Genomic DNA, 16,817 nt, shown 5'->3' with positions numbered 1-16,817 from the left:
GTCATCAATAAATGTGTGTTGGAGTTAAATTTACAATTCTTAGTTAAAAACTGAAATCTGATTTCATTCATTAAAATACCATGCATGTTATGGGATACATCAAATTAAGCAGAACAAGTCACTATCTGATTCATGATTATCTCTATCATTGCTACACTTAAGTATGTATATACTTAAGTATACAAACTTAAGTTTATATTTGTTATATACAATTGTTAGAATATTTTATTTAATTTTACTCCACAGAAAAAATTTAAACATTAAAACAGATTGCATACCTGCTTAAGATTCCCACTTAAAGCTGCATAAATTGCTCTCTCGTATCTATTAAAAAGCTCCTAAAACACAATGAATATAAACAAATTTGAAATATTGTTTTTCTTAGTATGTCAATTTTCCTCATAATGTGGAGTCTTGCAAACTCTTCTAGACTGAACCTATTCACTTGATAGTTTTTAAACTTTAGTGAAAGATCTAGTGGGGTAATAACAAGGAAGAACTTCAGTGTGATGAAATAATAAATGCTGAAATCTAGAGGAAAAAGTAAAACATTTAAATGCCAAATATCAGGTGAAAGCAGATCCAACTCTAGTGGATGCTTTGAATATTTAAAATCAAATTTTATTCCAGATACAATCTATATAGTTATTTACTCCTAGAATGTTTCTCAATACCTGACATTCTGATACTGACCTGATACTCTCTGATACTGACCTATGTACAACATCAAAACAAGGCATGCATTAGTTTGCATTTAATTCCTACATAGAACTAACTAATTCCCCATTTTACTTTTGGGATTCTATTAATGGTATTTCCAGTTTTCTTATCATCCAAACAAGAGACTTCAGAGACTCTTACTGCATAACTGAGTCCACCTCTGCCTTCTGTTTCTAATCACCGGTCCTGACCAGTGTCTCTTCCTTCCTTTCCATTATCATCAATACTATCCTAGGAAAGACCCTTATGACTTAGTGTCCAAATAATTCTGACAGGCTCCTAATTACTTTTTCAGGCTTTTATCCATCTAATTTTAAGTATATTTTTTCTACTGCCATGCTGATCTTCTTAAAAACACTTCTGCCATGTGCCCTAAAGCTTCTACCACCCTGACATCCAATTCCACAAGCAAACTTTAGGCCTTTTTCAAGGTAAAGTGCCATATTTATTGTAGTATTTATGTATTTTTTGAACTGTTTGACAGATGTAAAACTGTGCTACCATTTTTATTAACTTTTTATCATTTTATGTATCACTAATGAAGTTTTTGAGTATTTTTCTCTTAACTCCATTTCCCTATAAGTCCTGTGGGGTTTTTGCACAATGTTGTACATTGTGATGACTTTGAATACCTATGTCGTGTTACAACAGAACTGACTTTATTTCCTTTATAAGCATTCTACTCCAACCTGGTAGACCCACCTTACTTTGAGTTTCCCAATCTATGTATCCTACCTGGAATTCCTTCCTCTTGTTTTTCATTCTCAACAACGCAAATCCTACTAAGTTTTAAAAGTTCAATTCAATTCTTTCCTCAGGGAAGCCAGCTTTAAGCTTTAGCCCAGTACTTTTTCTCTAAATTCATTTGGTACCTCCTTTACTTTTCTGCCTTATATCAGTGTTTAATTCTTAGTACACAGTGTTTTAATAATTCTGATAAGTAGTTAAGCCTATTCCTCAATTTAATTGGAAATTCTCTGAAAACCAGTTTTACACTACTTTCAATGTTTCACAGCCCCTGAATAGGCTTTCAATTAATTGGAGTTAAAAACAGTATCACTGAATATTTTATTTATCTTACATCTTCTGCCATTCTCCAGCAACTTATTTTCCAAATGCGTCTATATGGATTCCCTTCAACAGGTTCTAATTCTGTTCCTATAAAATAGCAAAAGAAAATTTCTGGTTTAAAATAAGACCTTATTACAATTCTTTCTAAAAAGAGAAGCTATAGTTCACAAAGATTGGCATTTAGAGCGAAATGCCTTTGTCCTCAACTGTCAGAATAAAATCTACTAAAATACCTCCATTAACATTAGGGTCATGGTACAGTTTCCAGCCTTCAAGTGTTGCAGCTCTCCATGCTTGACCACAGCGTTTACAGAGTCGTTGTGCCTTAGAAAACAAGAAAGAGCAGTCAGTCCAATAACCAGGGTGCTTTATAGTAAAGTATAACCAATATATGACAAGCTTAGATAACTTATGGAACAAATGTTCCATCCATCCCATTACAAGGGATGGATGTAGACAGTTAATAATGGAATTCTGGCTGGGCGTGGTGGCTCACGCCTGTAATCCCAACACTTTGGGAGGCCAAGGCAAGTGCATCACCTGAGGTCAGGAGTTCCAGATCAGCCTGGCCAACATGGTGAAACCCCATCTCTACTAAAAACAGGAAAACTAGCCAGGCGCAGTGGCAGGCACCTGTAATCCCAGCTACTCGGGAGGCTGAGGCAGGTGCATCGCTTGAACCCAGGAGGCAGAGGTTGCAGTGAGCCGAAATTGCGCCACTGCACTCCAGCCTGGATGACAGAGTGAGACCCTGTCTCAAAAACTAAATAAATACATACATACATACATACATACATACATACATACATACATACATAATGGCATTCTATTTTTAAAACATATGCATGCCTTTCTGTGGCCTCTGCCTTTATTTTTCTTTCTTTTTTAAATTTTTTTGTAGAGACAGAGTCTCATTATATTGCCCAGGCTGGTCTCGAACTTCTGGACTGAAGGGATCCCCCCTACCTCAGCCTCCCAACGTGTTGGGATTACAGGTATGAGCCACCATACCTGGCCCTGTTTTTATTTCTAAAAAATCCCTTTTCTGTTTGACTTTAGGCTTAACAATACGTTCCCACGGCACCCACTGGCATTTAATTCTGCTAGAAACAAATGGGGTTAAAGAGGTTGATGACCTCTGATTTATGAAAAACTATTAAAAAAACAGTCTCTAATGACAAGGTTGTTACTGCTCATTTACTCCACTGATGATACTGCATGTTCAACTTGACCAATAAGTCAGTAAGTCAATGTGTTTATATACCAGTAAGGTAAATACATGTTTTTGTTCCATCATCCCTTTAGGGAATCACCTTTTCCCCATTCTTGGCTCCTGTGTTTTGGATAGGCCTGATCCGATTCCAGAAATCTAAGGTTAGGGATGTGAGCTAACAAGATTCACCACCAGGACTCTTGGTGGAGATACTGGGAAAGAAAATATACTCCTTTTACTGAGATTGCTAGCTCCATGTAAGCTTGGAGCTTCTTGTATCCATCTCTGATACAACATGGGGAGTAGCTTTCTGGGAATGAAGGCACAGAGAGGAGGGTTGAGCTATGGGTCTTGGACACAGACAGTATCCTAGTGATATCTTTGGAGTTCCTGGATCCTGCTGAAAGCCAGATATACCTTCTATACTTCCCACTTCCATGAGCCAATCAATTCTCCTCTTGTAAGCATAAAGTAACTTAGGTTGGGTTTCTATCACTTGAACCCAGAAAGCCTGATTGATACAACTAGTTAAAGAATATCATACCCCTAACATCATTCTGAACTTATAGCCTTTAAAATCTATGAGAGCTATGTAAGAATTAACATGGAAAACTATTTTGATATGGTATCTTAAAAAGGCAGGATAAAAACTCAATATAGAATGTTGAAAACATTATGCTAAGTGAAATAAGATAGTCACAAAAGCACATTGTATGATTCTACCTATACATCATAGAGACAGTAAGTAGATTAGAGGTTACAGGGGCTGAGGGAAGAAGAGAATGAGGCGTTACTGCATATAATGGTTACAGTTTGTATTTGGGTTGATGAAAAAGTTTTAGAAACAGACAGTGGTGATGGTTTCCCAATACTGTTAATGTAATGAATGCCATGAAGTGCACACTTAAATGATTAAAATGGCACATTTTGTTATATAATATAATAATATATATTATACGATTCACAAAATCAATAATGTAATATACCAAAACCATTGAATGGTGTCACTTGAAATGGGTGAATTACATGGTATGTAAATTTTATCTCAAATTGCTATTAAAAAAGAGGGAAAAAACTTGAATGTATAGTATGACTGCAACTACCTTAAAAAGGAAGACCAAAGAAAAAGGGCTATAAGTAAATACAAAACACTCACTATCTGTGGTTTTATAAAGCTAGTGAGACCTTGAGAATTTCTATTTTTTGAGCCTTCAATAATATGATTGTATTTTTGTTTTTTAAAATAAATCCCATGGCCGGGTGTGGTGGCTCACGCCTGTAATCCTAGCACTTTGGGAGGCTGAGGTAGGCGGACTGCCTGAGCTCAGGAGTTTGAGACCAGCCTGGGCAACACGGTGAAACCACGTCTTTACTAAAATGCAAAAAATTAGCCAGGCGTGGAGGCGTGTGCCTGTATTCCAAGCTACTTGGGAGGCTGAGGCAGGAGAATTGCTTGAACCTGGGAGGCGGAGGTTGCAGTGAGCCGAGATCGCGCCACTGCACTCCAGCCTGGGTGACAGAGCGAGACTCCATCTCAAAAAAAAAAAGAAATTACATAAGAAATTAATATATGCTTATGGTTGATAGCACAGAAGAAAACAAACAACACTTTGAACTGACATAGAATCTGTCTAAAGACCATTGCAAAAAGTACTGTAAACCAAGTACAACATAATACTGAAGCCAAACTCCTACACATCACACTATCTCACCTAAAGAGGCATCTGGTAAACTGTCCAATTAGATACTTATCATTCTACATATAAGATATTAACTATCACCCACATTTTTAAAAGGTAAGGTTAAAAGGAAGAAGTTTGAGGGCCATTGTAGCCTTCAAGTGCCTAAATAGTATCACCTAGAATTAGGGTTAGGTTTATTCTAAACTCTGAAAAATCAGAATTAGAAATAATGAAGATTGGGTCAGGTGCAGTGGCTCATGCCTGCAATCCCAGCACTTTGGGAGGCCAATGCAGGAAGATCACTTGAGCCCAGGTGTTCACGATCAGCCTGGACAACATAGTAAGACTCCGTCTGTACAAAAAATAAAAATGTTAGTTGGGCATAGTGGCGTGTACCTGTAGTCCCAGTTACTCAGGAGGCTGAGGCAGGGCTTGAGCCCGGGAGGTAAGGACTGCAGTGGGCCATGATTATATCACTGCATTCCAGTCTAGGCGACAGTGAGATCCCATCTCAAAAAAAAAAAGAAAGAAAGAAAGAAAGAAAGAAAGAAAAAGGAAAAAAAAATGAATGGAGATTGGGCCAGGTGCAGTGTCTCATGCCTGTAATCCCAGCACTTTTTAAGGCCAAGGCGGGAGGATCACTTAAGGCCAGAAGTTTGAGATTACGCTGGGCAACATGGCAAGACACTGTCTCAAAAAAAAAACAAAAACAAAAACAAAAATCTCAAACGGAACAAAAAAATAAATAATGGGGATATACCTAGAGTATGCAGTGCAATATGGGGAAGAAAAGTATGACTTGTTATAAATAATTTTCTATTAATTAGAGTTGTACAAACTAGATTACATTGTTTTCTCAAGTTACATGTGCCTTATCACCGGAAATGTTCGAACAGGAAGTTAGATCTAGAAATACCATGAATGGAATTACTACATTAAGAAGGCTTACTAGGCAGCCACAAAAATCTCTTCCAACTCAAAGAGTCTATGACTTTTTGAAATTAGACAAGAAGGGTATACATGACTGACCTCTTCTGTCATTCCAGCACGGATTAGAGTAAAGAGATATTTGAGTAATCTAACTTCATCTTCTCTATCCAGATCATCAAGGGGCATTTTCTGTCTTATGGGAGCATCAGGGTCCTGTAAGAAGAAAAAAAAGTCATCATCAACCATAAATCCTTTGTACTTACATACATTTTACACATCATCAAGAGATGATAAACCTATCCTGAGTTTATACACAAATAAATTCATTTTTTCTTTTTTCTTTTCCGAGACGGAGTCTTGTTCTGTCGCCCAGGCTGGAGTGCAGTGGCGCGATCTCAGCACACCACAACCTCCATCTCCTCTGTTCAAGCAATTCTCCTGCCTCGGCCTCCCGAGCAGCTGGGATTATAGGTGCACGCCACCACGCCCAGCTAATTTTTGTATTTTTAGTAGAGACGGGGTTTCACCACGTTGACCAGATTGGTCTCGAACTCCTGACCTCATGATCCACCCACCTCGGCCACCCAAAGTGCTGGGATTACAGGCGTGAACCACTGCGCCTGGCTGAAATAAATTGTTTCAATTTAATTAAGTAACAAAGGGAATGAAGCTCTCACAAGATTACAAGTGTTCCAAATAGCCACATAGTCATCTGCTTCCCTACTTAAAACATACTCAGTTGGCCCACAAAGGGCATGCCTCAGTCAGGCAAGGCAGAAATACTACTAGCCTATCCCAGCCCAGGTAACACTAGAAGATGACTTGAGTTTCACTCTATCACAGCAGCTACATGGTCAAGTTTAAATAGAATTAGACCTAGATGGAAGAAGAACACAAAGCAAAAACCTTCTGTTCTGTGACTACAAAGTGCTTACCTGGTACTTTTTGAGAACATATGGGAAGAGGGCCTATTAAGACCTATTTTGGGATTAATGCCACATAAAAAACACCAATGCCTAATAAAAAAATTTAAACAGATTTCTAATAAATAAGTACAAATCTCCCAAAACAGTTATTTCTACCTACCTTTTTTCCATGTGCTTCTAAGCATTTAGGATAATATATTGTTCTCACTTTAGCAGCAAACAGCACACATGATCTACATGATGGATTTCCAATGGAAAACAATTTTAATGTGACTCAAGAAAGGAAGTAATTCTTACTCCACATGTTACTTAGTGTATGGTAATATGAATATCAATTCAGAAAATGGAATACATAATAGATCAATTCACTACTTTCATAAATATTTTGCAAACACATAATTCAATTTTGGAACATGGTCTCTTTCTGGCAAAAGGAAATCACCACTTTCCAGCTGGTAAGATTAAACGATTTTCAGCTGTTGCCTGCTACAATGTAATTTAGCTATAATCAATTTTAAGCTGTTAAGAGTAGTTTCCAAACAATTTTCTTTTTCTTTTTCCCAAACAATTTTCATCAAAAACCTCTTTGTTACTAAATGGAATTCTAGAAGTTTTTTTCAATTGTTACTTATTTCTCTCTTTTCACTATAAACATTTCACGTGCCCTGTCATAAAGCTTCATTCCTTTGTTTTTAGAATAATTCAGCTTCAGTTCTTTTCAAATCCACTTTTCAAATAACCGTTCTAACCTCAAACCAATAAGGCTTTAGTTTTTTTTCACTTGCTTTCAACATAAAAGAGCTTTCATAGGTCAGTCACTACCTTATATAGGCAGTCAAATCTTAAGATAAGACCAAAATTAATTTGTTTTTAATGCTGTCAAGTTAAGTATACTTTCCACAACTTATTACTTACAATTCAAAGGTCACGGATATGTTTCAATATATTCCATCAGATTCCAATGCAACTTAGTTGTTTTAGAGTAAAATGTTAGTGTGTGCAAACCTTTAGAAGAGCAAAACAAAGATCCACGAGAAAAAATTCTCAGCCTGAAAAAAAAAATCAGTTAACTTTGAAGGCAACTTTCATTTCAAAGAACATTTACCAATTCAGTGACAAGCGGACGAACACTTCCAACGTAAGAAGTCAGCTGCCGTTGTTTTAAGGTATGCAGAGTATTTTCCCTGAAAGAAATAATAAGTACCAAATTTTTTAAGAGGTAATTTTAATAGGTCTATTTTTAAAAAATCAAATCAAGTCAAAGGAAGAAAGACAGACTACAATCCCAGTAAAAACATGCAAAAATCCTTAATACAGAAGTACATTTTAGCTCAGATGACTAATGGTGTTGAGGGCTTTTTCATGTCCTTATTGGCCATTCATCTATCTGGTTTCGTGATGTATCAGTTCAAATTTTTGCCCTTTTTACTAGGATTATCTTTCTACTATTGAGTTATAGTTCTTTATGAACTACACATCCCAGTCTGTGGCTTGCTCCCATTTATTTTCTTAATGGTGGGTTTTTTTTTTTTTTTTTTGGAGACAGGGTCTCGCTCTGTTGCCGAGGCTAAAGTGCAGTGGCACAATCATGACTCACTGCAGCCTCGACCTCCCGGACTCAAGTGATCCTCCCATTTCAGTCTCCTGAGTAGCTGGGACTACAGACACGCGCCACCATGCCCTGCTAACATTTTAATATTTTTGTAGAGATGGGGGTCTCACTGTGTTCCCCTGGCTGGTCTTGAACTCCCGGCCTCAAGTAATCCTTCTGCCTCAGCCTCCCAAAGTGCTAGGATTACAGGTGTGAGCCACCATGTCTGGCCAATGGTGTTTTTTTAATGATACATTTTTAATTTTGATAAAGTCAAACCAATTTTTTTGCCTGATTATTGCTTTCTATGAGCTAAGATACATCTATCTATTCTCAAGTTACTAGGATATCTTCCTATGCTTTTCTTTAAAAGCTTTATGGTTTTTAGCTTCTACATTTAGGACTATGACACATCTTGAATTAATTGTTGGGTATGGAGTGAGGGAGCCATCAAGGTTAATCTTCTTTCTCATAGATATCATTTTTCTGCAGTTTGTAAAAAAGGCATTCCATTCCCTGCTGGATTGCTTTGATGTCCTTGTTGAAAACCAAATGACCATATCAGTGTGAATCTATTGTGGGGTTCTCTGTTCTGTTCCGCTGATCAGCAAAAAAAAGGAGATTAACTCATTAAAAATTGTAAAAACCCAACAGGGCATTTTAACTAAAAAAAAAAAACAAAAAACAAAAAACAAAAAAAAAAACTTATTTTCTGAAAATGAAAACTTCCTTTCAGAAAAAAAATCACATCCACTTAAGATTTAATTTTTAACAAATGCTTAGTAGCAGTAATTTCCTAGCTAAGCAGAGAAAATATATAATTGACTTACAGACTTTGTACACATATTACTGAATTCAAAGGCAATCTGGCAATCTGACTTTTTTTTTTTTTTTTTTTTTTTTTGAGATGGAGTTTTGCTCTTTTTACCCAGGCTGGAGTGCAATGGCGTGATCTTGGCTCACTGGTGCCCGCCACCACGACTGGCTAATTTTTGTATTTTTAGTAGAGATGCGGTTTTACCATGTTGGCCAGACTGCTCTTGAACTCCTGATCTCAGGTGATCCACCTGCCTTGGCCTCCCAAAGTGCTAGGATTACAGGTGTGAGCCACTGTACCTGCCCGCAATCTGACCTTTTAAAAATCTTTTGCAAGTCTTAAACCATGCCCAGCCACAATCTGACCTTTTAAAAATCTTTTGCAAGACTTAAAATAAACTGTCCCTTTAACTTAGGGGAGGTTTCTGGCTTCAAGGGCCTATAATAATTTAGAAGTACTGAAGAGTGTAAGCAAAAGCAAGACAAAACAAAACAAACCCACACAAGTAGCTGAAAACAGGACAGAAGTGTCTTCTTGACAATCAGAAGATCATCTTCTGATATGATCAATAATCTTATTAAGAAAAAAGCAGGCAGGTGATTGTTTGAAAACATAAATTGGACCATGTCATTCTTCTATTCTCAAGGTTTCCCATCACATTTAGAATAAAGTCCAGAATAGTTACATTTGTCTGCCTGTAAAAGCCCTATATCTGGCTTCCTCCAGTCTTGTTTTCTACCATTCTTTTCCTTGCTGTGTTCCCACTGGCTTCTTTGTGCAAACACTTTACGTTCTCTGGGTCATTCCAGTTTGTTTTCCTGCTCAGAATAGTTATCCCCCAGATTTTTGCATGGCTGGCTGCCTTTATTTCATAAAAGTCTCTTACTACCTTAGAAAAGCCTTCTCTTCAATTTAAAGTAGGACTCCCTGTCGTATCTATCCATTAATTCTAATCCTTTTTTTTTTTTTTGAGGTGGAGTCTCGCTCTGTCACCCAGGCTGGAGTGCAGTGGAGCGATCTTGGCTCACTGCAAGCTCTGCCTCCCAGGTTCAAGCTCCTGTCATATCAGTATTTAAATACAGAATTCAGGATCTCCTACTTTAAAAACAATCTCCCTTCTGAGTTACTTTTATTTTATTTATTTATTTATTTTTTGAGACAGGGTCTCACTCTGTCACCCAGGCTGGAGTGCAGTGGCGCAATCTCGGCTCACTGCAACCTCTGCCTCCTGGGTTCAAGCGATTCTCCTGCCTCAGCCTCCCAAGTAGCTGGGACTACAGGCGCCCGCCACCACGCCTGGCTAATTTTTTGTATTTTTAGTAGAGATGGGTTTCACCGCATTAGCCAGGATGGTCTTGATCTCCTGACTTCGTGATCCGCCCGCCACCACGCCTGGCTAATTTTTTGTATTTTTAGTAGAGATGGGTTTTACCGCATTAGCCAGGATGGTCTTGATCTCCTGACTTCGTGATCCACCCGCCTCAGCCTCCCAAAGTGCTGGGATTACAGGTGTGAACCACAGCGCCGAGCCTCTAATTCATTTTTTTCCCCAAAGCTCGGAATACCCAACAGAATATACATTTGTCTCTTGGTATCCATAGGGGACCCTACTTGGATACCAAAATCCAAGGGTGCTCAGATCCTTTACATAAAATATTGTATTATTTGTATATAACCTACACATGTTCTCCCATATACTTTATATCATCTCGATTACTTAGAATACCTAATACAACGTAAATGTTATGCAAATAACTATTATACTATATTTTTAAATTTGTATTACTTTTTTTATCTTGTTATTTTTATTGTTTTATTCCAATTATTTCTTTTCTGTTTTTTTTTTTTTTTTTTAAGACGGCCTGCTCTGTCGCCCAGGCTGGAGTGCAATGGCATGAACTCGGCTCACTGCAACCTCCACCTCCTGGATTTCAGCGATTCTCCTGCCTCAGCCTCCCAAGTAGCTGGGATTACAGGTGTGCGTCACCAAACCCGGCTAATTTTTGTATTTTTAGCAGAGACAGGGTTTTACCATGTTGGTCAGGCTGGTCTGGAACTCCTGACCTCGTGATCCCCCACCTTGGCCTCCCAAAGTGCTGGGATTACAGGCGTGAGCCATCACACCCGGCTTGTTTTATTCCAATTATTTCTGATCTGCAGTTTGTTCAATCCATGGATGCGAAACCCACAAACTCAGAGGGCCAACTGTATATTTGCAAATCAGCTATCTAACTCTCTTAAACAATTATAAATTCCATAAAGGCAAAGCCTTTATTTGTTTTGCTCACACACCAAACAAAGTAGTGTGAACAAAGTAGTGTGAACAAAGTAAAAACTGAATAATACTTATTGAAAGATGAATGAACAATATCAACATTGAGTGACCTTAAGAATTAAAGTTTGGTAACTTACCAATATACTGATTTTGCATAAAACTCAATATTATCAGAAAATTCTCCAATTTCATCTTTGGCAATACTCTCTAACCAATCTACCACCAGCTAAGAAAGAAAGAAAAAAATAAATTAGTGTTAACTACCAAATCTATTTGTGTTTTATTTGTAGTGGTACTACTACCCTTAATTCAAACAGTTTCAGATTTTTTATTTTTTTTTTTGAGAAAGAGTCTCACTCTGTCGTGCAGGCTGGAGTGCAGTGGCATAATCTCGGCTCACTGCAAGCTCTGCCTCCTGGGTTCACGTCATTCTCCTGCCTCAGCCTCCCAAGTAGCTGGGACTACAGGCGCCCACCACCACACCCAGCTAATTTTTTTTTTATTTTTAGTAGAGACGGGGTTTCACTGTTAGCCAGATGGTCTCGATCTCCTGACCTCGAGATCTGCCTGCCCTGGCCTCCCAAAGTGCTGGGATTACAGGCGTGAAGTTTCTGATTTTAAAAATATCAAGTAACAATTTTTCCAAACACTATTTTTACTTTAAGATAAATAAATATTATGGCAAAAGAATAAAATTTTCTATAGGAATAATCGTTTTTAACAGGCTATTCCTGAAAATACTAGGGCTATTACTTAAAAATCAAAGAATAAGGTTTCTAATTCCTTTTAATTGCAAATAAAAAGATCAAGTAGAAAAAAAATTCAGAAAACAGTTTTAAGTTAAAAAACACTTCAGTACTTTGCATGTCATTAACCTTTTCTCCATGTTTCATAAAAAAAAATTTTAAATTCTAGTCATACCTGACTTTGTCGAACAAGTGAATCCCTCTGAAATAACGCTTCCACAACTGTTTTTTCACTGGCATTAACAGCCTATTATGAAAAATATTAAAAGGATAAACAGAATGAAAAGAAGATGCTGTTAAGAAATATTATTTTAATAGAAAGATAAAAAGCCAGTATGAAACAAGTACAGTTAATCATCTATACATAAACATTTTACCACATAGTAAATCTGTATATTCATCATTGAAAGGTATCTATTGTGTAAATTCCAAACTGCTACATCAATTGTAGCTGCTCTTACCTGGTATATTGATTCTTTACACTTGAAATTTAAAATTCCATTTTCCCAGAGATGGTGTTTTGGGGAAAAATAAACACAAAATAAAACAAACAAAAAACTTTAATAGGCCAGGCATGGTGGCTCACACCTGTAATCCCAGCACTTTGGGAGGCCGAGGCAGGCAGATCACTTGAGGTCAGGAGTTCGAGACCAGTCTGGCCAAAATGGTGAATCCACATCTCTACTAAAAATACAAAAATTAGCTGGGCGTGGTGACGCAAGCCTGTAATCCCAGCTACTCGGAGGCTAAGGCACGAGAATCACTTGAACCCACGAGGCAGAGGTTGCAGTGAGCTGAGATCACGCCACTGCACTCCAGCCTGGGTGACAGAGTGAGACTCCATCCCAAAATAAAAAAAAAAAAACTGTAATACAGGGCTGAATACAGCCCTGTTACATGTTAGAAACTAAACATTTAAAAACGTTAAAATCCTTTATAGTCTATATAGAAGTTGATAAGTAATAAAAGCTAAGAGCAATCCAAGGCTCTTACAACTGACTTTAAAAGACAATTTAATACAAATATTAGCAAGTAATACTAAGCAGTATATTAAAAGGATAATATATTGTGACCAGTTCAAGAATGGGTCAAATTAATTAATTAATCCATTTTATCCATGGGTTAAAGGAGAAAAGCTACATGGACTTCTTGACAGGTACCAGAATATTTCATAAAAATATCTTCATAAATTTTACCTTGCCATTTTGATGTAAAAAATATATATATCCTCATAAGTTAGACTAACTGAAACCTCTAGCAAACATATAGTCGTCCCTTGGTATCCATGGGGGATTGGCTCCAGGACCCCTCGTGGATACCAAAATCTGTGGATGTTCAAGGCCCTTATATAAAATGTTGTAGTATATTTTATTTAATTATTTATTTATTTTTTGAGACAGAGTCTTACTCTGTCATCCAGGCTGGAGTGCAGTGGGCCTGATCTCAGCTCATTGCAACCTCTGCCTCCTGGGCTCAAGTGATTCTCATGCCTCAGCCTCCCAAGAAGAAGGGAGGTGCCTGCCACCACACCTGGGTAATTTTTGTATTTTTAGTAGAGACGGGTTTCACCATGTTGGCCAGGCTGATTTCAAATTCCTGGCCTCAAGCAGTCTACCTGCCTCGGCCTCCCAAAGTGCTGGGATCGCAGGCATGAGCCACCTCATCCAGCCAAAATGCTGTAGTATATTTTAAATCATCTCTATTGGACCTGGCTGTGATAAAAAAATAATGAACAACAACAACAACAAAATCATCTCTAGATTATGTATAATATCTAATATAATGTAAATGCTACATATGTAAATAGTTGTTATATTATATCACTTAGGGAATAAAGATTAAAAACATGTGCACATATTCAGTACAAACCCAATGATCTTTTATTTGAGACAGGGTCTCGCTCTGTCACCCAGGCTGGAGTGCAGTAGCACAATTACAGCTCACTACATTCTTGACCTCCTGGGCACAAGCGATCCTCCCATCTCAGCCTCACATGTAGATGGGACTAGGCATGCACCACCATGCCCGGCTAAGTTTGTCACTTTTTGCAGAGACTGGGTCTTGCTATCTTGCCCAGGCTGCTCTTGAACTCTGGGCTAAACTGAGCCTTCCACCTTGACCTCCCAAAGTGTTGGGATTACCGGCATGAGCCTCCACACCTGGACCATTTTTTTTTTCTTTTTTGACAGTTGGCAGAGCTAGCTGAGGTTTTATTTTGGAAAAAAAAATTGCATTGTTTTGTAGCTGTAGGCATGGGCAAGGGGGGTACCCCAGGCAGTAAACTCCCCCCACGGGTGGGCAGAGGGCTAGGGCTGAGCCTCAGGTGGGTCTCCTGTTCCCTGTGCTCCTCTGGACAGCAGCCTCTCTGGGGCAGCCGCAGAAGGGGTAGGCTAGAAGGGGCTGTCACGGCTGTTCACTTGGTCAGTACATCAGACGACTCAGACACTAGCTTTCCATCGTGGGTCTCGATCTTCACAATCACAGCCCTGGTGGAGCTGGTGCAGCTGAAGGAACTGGAGCCCGCACCAGAGCCAAAGCTGGAGTCCAGGCTGTAGCTGAGGCCAGGGCTTATGAGGCCCCCATAGGCCGAGCTCAGACCACCTGAATAGCCGCTGGTGGTCTTCGTATGGATACTCATGTTCTGCATCCCAGACTCCAGCTGGCTCTCCTCATCCTCCAGCAGCTTCCTTTAAGTGGTGATCTTGATGTCCAAGGCCAGCTTGAAGTTCATCAGCTCCTGGTACTCCCGCAGCTGCCGTGCCATGTCCTGCTTGGCCCGCCCACCTCCAGCTTGGACAGCTTGGTGTTGGCATCCTTAACTGCCAGCTCCCCATGCTGCTCAGCATCTGCGATGGCGGCCTCCAGGGAAGCCCTCTGGCCTTTGAGGCCCTCAATCTCATCCTGGAGCCGACTGATGTTCCTGTTCATCTTGGAGATCTCAGTCTTTGTGCACCACGGGTCATCCCATGCTTCCAAGCCAGCGTCTGCAGCTCCTCATATTTGATCTCATGCTCTCAGCCTCAGCCTGGTTGTGGTTGGCGATCTCCTCGTACGGTGCCTTGACCTCAGCGATGATGCTGTTCATGTCCAGGGAGCGACTGTTGTCAATGGACAGCACCACAGATGTGTCCGAGATCTGGGACTGCAGCTCCCGGATCTCCTCTTCATACAGTTGCCTGAGGAAGCTGATCTCTTCAGTAAGCCCTTCCAGGTGAGACTCCAGCTCTACCTTGTTCTTGTAAGCTTCATCCATATCCTTCTTGATGAGGACAAATTCATTCTCCATCTCTGTATGCTTTTTGATATCATCCTCGTACTTGTTCTTGAAGTCCTCCACCAGCCCCTGCATGTTATCAAGTTCCACCTCCAGCTTCAGCTTCTCTTGGCCCAGAGTGTACAGCTGCCAGCAGAAGTTTGTTGATGTAGCTCTCGAACATGTTGTCCATGTTGCTCTGAGCCGTCTTCTGCCGCTGCAGGGGCCTCCACTTGGTCTCCAGCATCTTGTTCTGCTGCTGCAGGAACTGTACCTTGTCAATGAAGGAGGCAAACTTGTTGTTGAGGGTCTTGATCTGCTCCTTCACCTGGGTGCACACAGCTTGGATGTTGGGGTCCACCTCCAGGTTAAGGGGGCTCAGCAGGCTCTGGTTGACCGTGACTGGGGTGATGCCTCCCCTACCACTGGCCCTGCCAAAGTCTCCACCCAGGCTACCCCGGAAACTGCTGCTGCCCATTCGGGAGAAGCTCGAGGAGCTGATGCAGGCACTGGGCCCACACATGTAGGAATGGCTACTGAAGGCCCTTGGGCCAGAGTTGGACACCTTGAAGGACTTCTGGGTCACTCTGATGGACATGGTGGAGGCAGGAGTGAAGGCAGGCAGGCTGAGCTAGGCGGAGATTCGAGAAGGAACAGAGAAGCTGCTTCTTGGTGATTCTTTTTTTTTTTTTTTTTTTTAAAGAATACTTTTGATCTGCAGTTGGTTAAATTCATGGATGTGGAACCCACATATAAGGAATTTCGGCTGACTATACTTAACTGTAAAGTGAGATACTCCCTTTAAAATCCAGAAGATGAGGAGTAAGAGTTCATTATTATTCAACTTTACTTTGAAAAGTCTAACTAACATAATAAAACCAGGAAAAGAATTAAGTTAGCAAAAAGTATGGAAAAACAGTCAAAGTCATCACTACTTGTAGATAACAGAATTGCCTGGAAAACCAGAGGAAACCTATTAAAACTAGTAAGTGAGCTCAATAAATAGCCAAATATGACAGTCTTCCTACATGTGCATTTGGAATGAAGTATTTGTGGGATAAACAAATTAAAAGATTGGAAAGATATTAAAAAATATTTTAAGTGAAAAAGTAGCCTTGGAGTTTGAGACCAGCCTGGGCAACATAGTAAGACACCCCATCTCTATAAAATATAAAAAAGAAATTAGCCAGGCATGGTGGTACACACCTGTAGTCCTCGCTACTTGGGAGGCTGAGGCAGGAGGCTCACTTGAGCCCAAGAGTTCGAGGCTGCAGTGAACTATGATCATGCCACTGCACTCTGGCCTGTGAGACAAAGTGAGACCATGTCCCCGCCGTGCTGGCCACCCCCCAAAAAAGAAAAAGAAACAAAAGAAAAAAAAAAGCAGTCTAACAGATATACATAAAATATTTATTATAAATATACATTATCTCCTTTTTTAACTATATATACTTGCTTCAAATATGAATTACTTTTGGGCGAGGCACGGTGGCTCACGTCTGTAATCTCAGCACTTTGGGAGGCCAAAACAGGTGGATCACTTGAAGCTAGGAGTTCAAGACCAGCCTGGACAACATGGTTAAAACCCTGTCT

At 39.5% G+C, this 16,817-nt stretch overlaps 1 protein-coding gene and 1 pseudogene across 4 annotated transcripts in view; both read right to left on the bottom strand.

Moving 5' to 3' along the window:
* The window catches only part of NUP107 (nucleoporin 107), a 58,832-nt gene that overhangs the window by 24,354 nt on the left and 17,661 nt on the right, over nt 1-16,817 (bottom strand). For 2 of the 4 annotated variants that reach the window (NM_001330192.2, NM_020401.4), the window contains exons 9-15: nt 12,147-12,218; nt 11,363-11,451; nt 7,648-7,726; nt 5,716-5,829; nt 2,025-2,115; nt 1,802-1,878; nt 279-338 (exon numbers count right to left, since the gene is read on the bottom strand). In NM_001330192.2, coding sequence (NP_001317121.1) covers nt 279-338; nt 1,802-1,878; nt 2,025-2,115; nt 5,716-5,829; nt 7,648-7,726; nt 11,363-11,451; nt 12,147-12,218 — 582 coding nt within the window. Of the gene's footprint in view, nt 1-278; nt 339-1,801; nt 1,879-2,024; nt 2,116-5,715; nt 6,776-7,457; nt 7,727-11,362; nt 11,452-12,146; nt 12,219-16,817 lie in introns of those variants that run through there. The other 2 variants (XM_005269037.5, XM_047429177.1) reach the window with 2 other exon arrangements.
* Nucleotides 14,191-15,900, bottom strand: KRT8P39 (keratin 8 pseudogene 39; annotated as a pseudogene).

This window comes from Homo sapiens, chromosome 12 (genome assembly GCF_000001405.40).
Source record: "Homo sapiens chromosome 12, GRCh38.p14 Primary Assembly".
Lineage (NCBI taxonomy): Eukaryota > Metazoa > Chordata > Mammalia > Primates > Hominidae > Homo > Homo sapiens.
The sequence above is the reverse complement of the archived record's forward strand: the minus strand, read 5'-3'. Positions and strand labels throughout refer to the sequence as shown.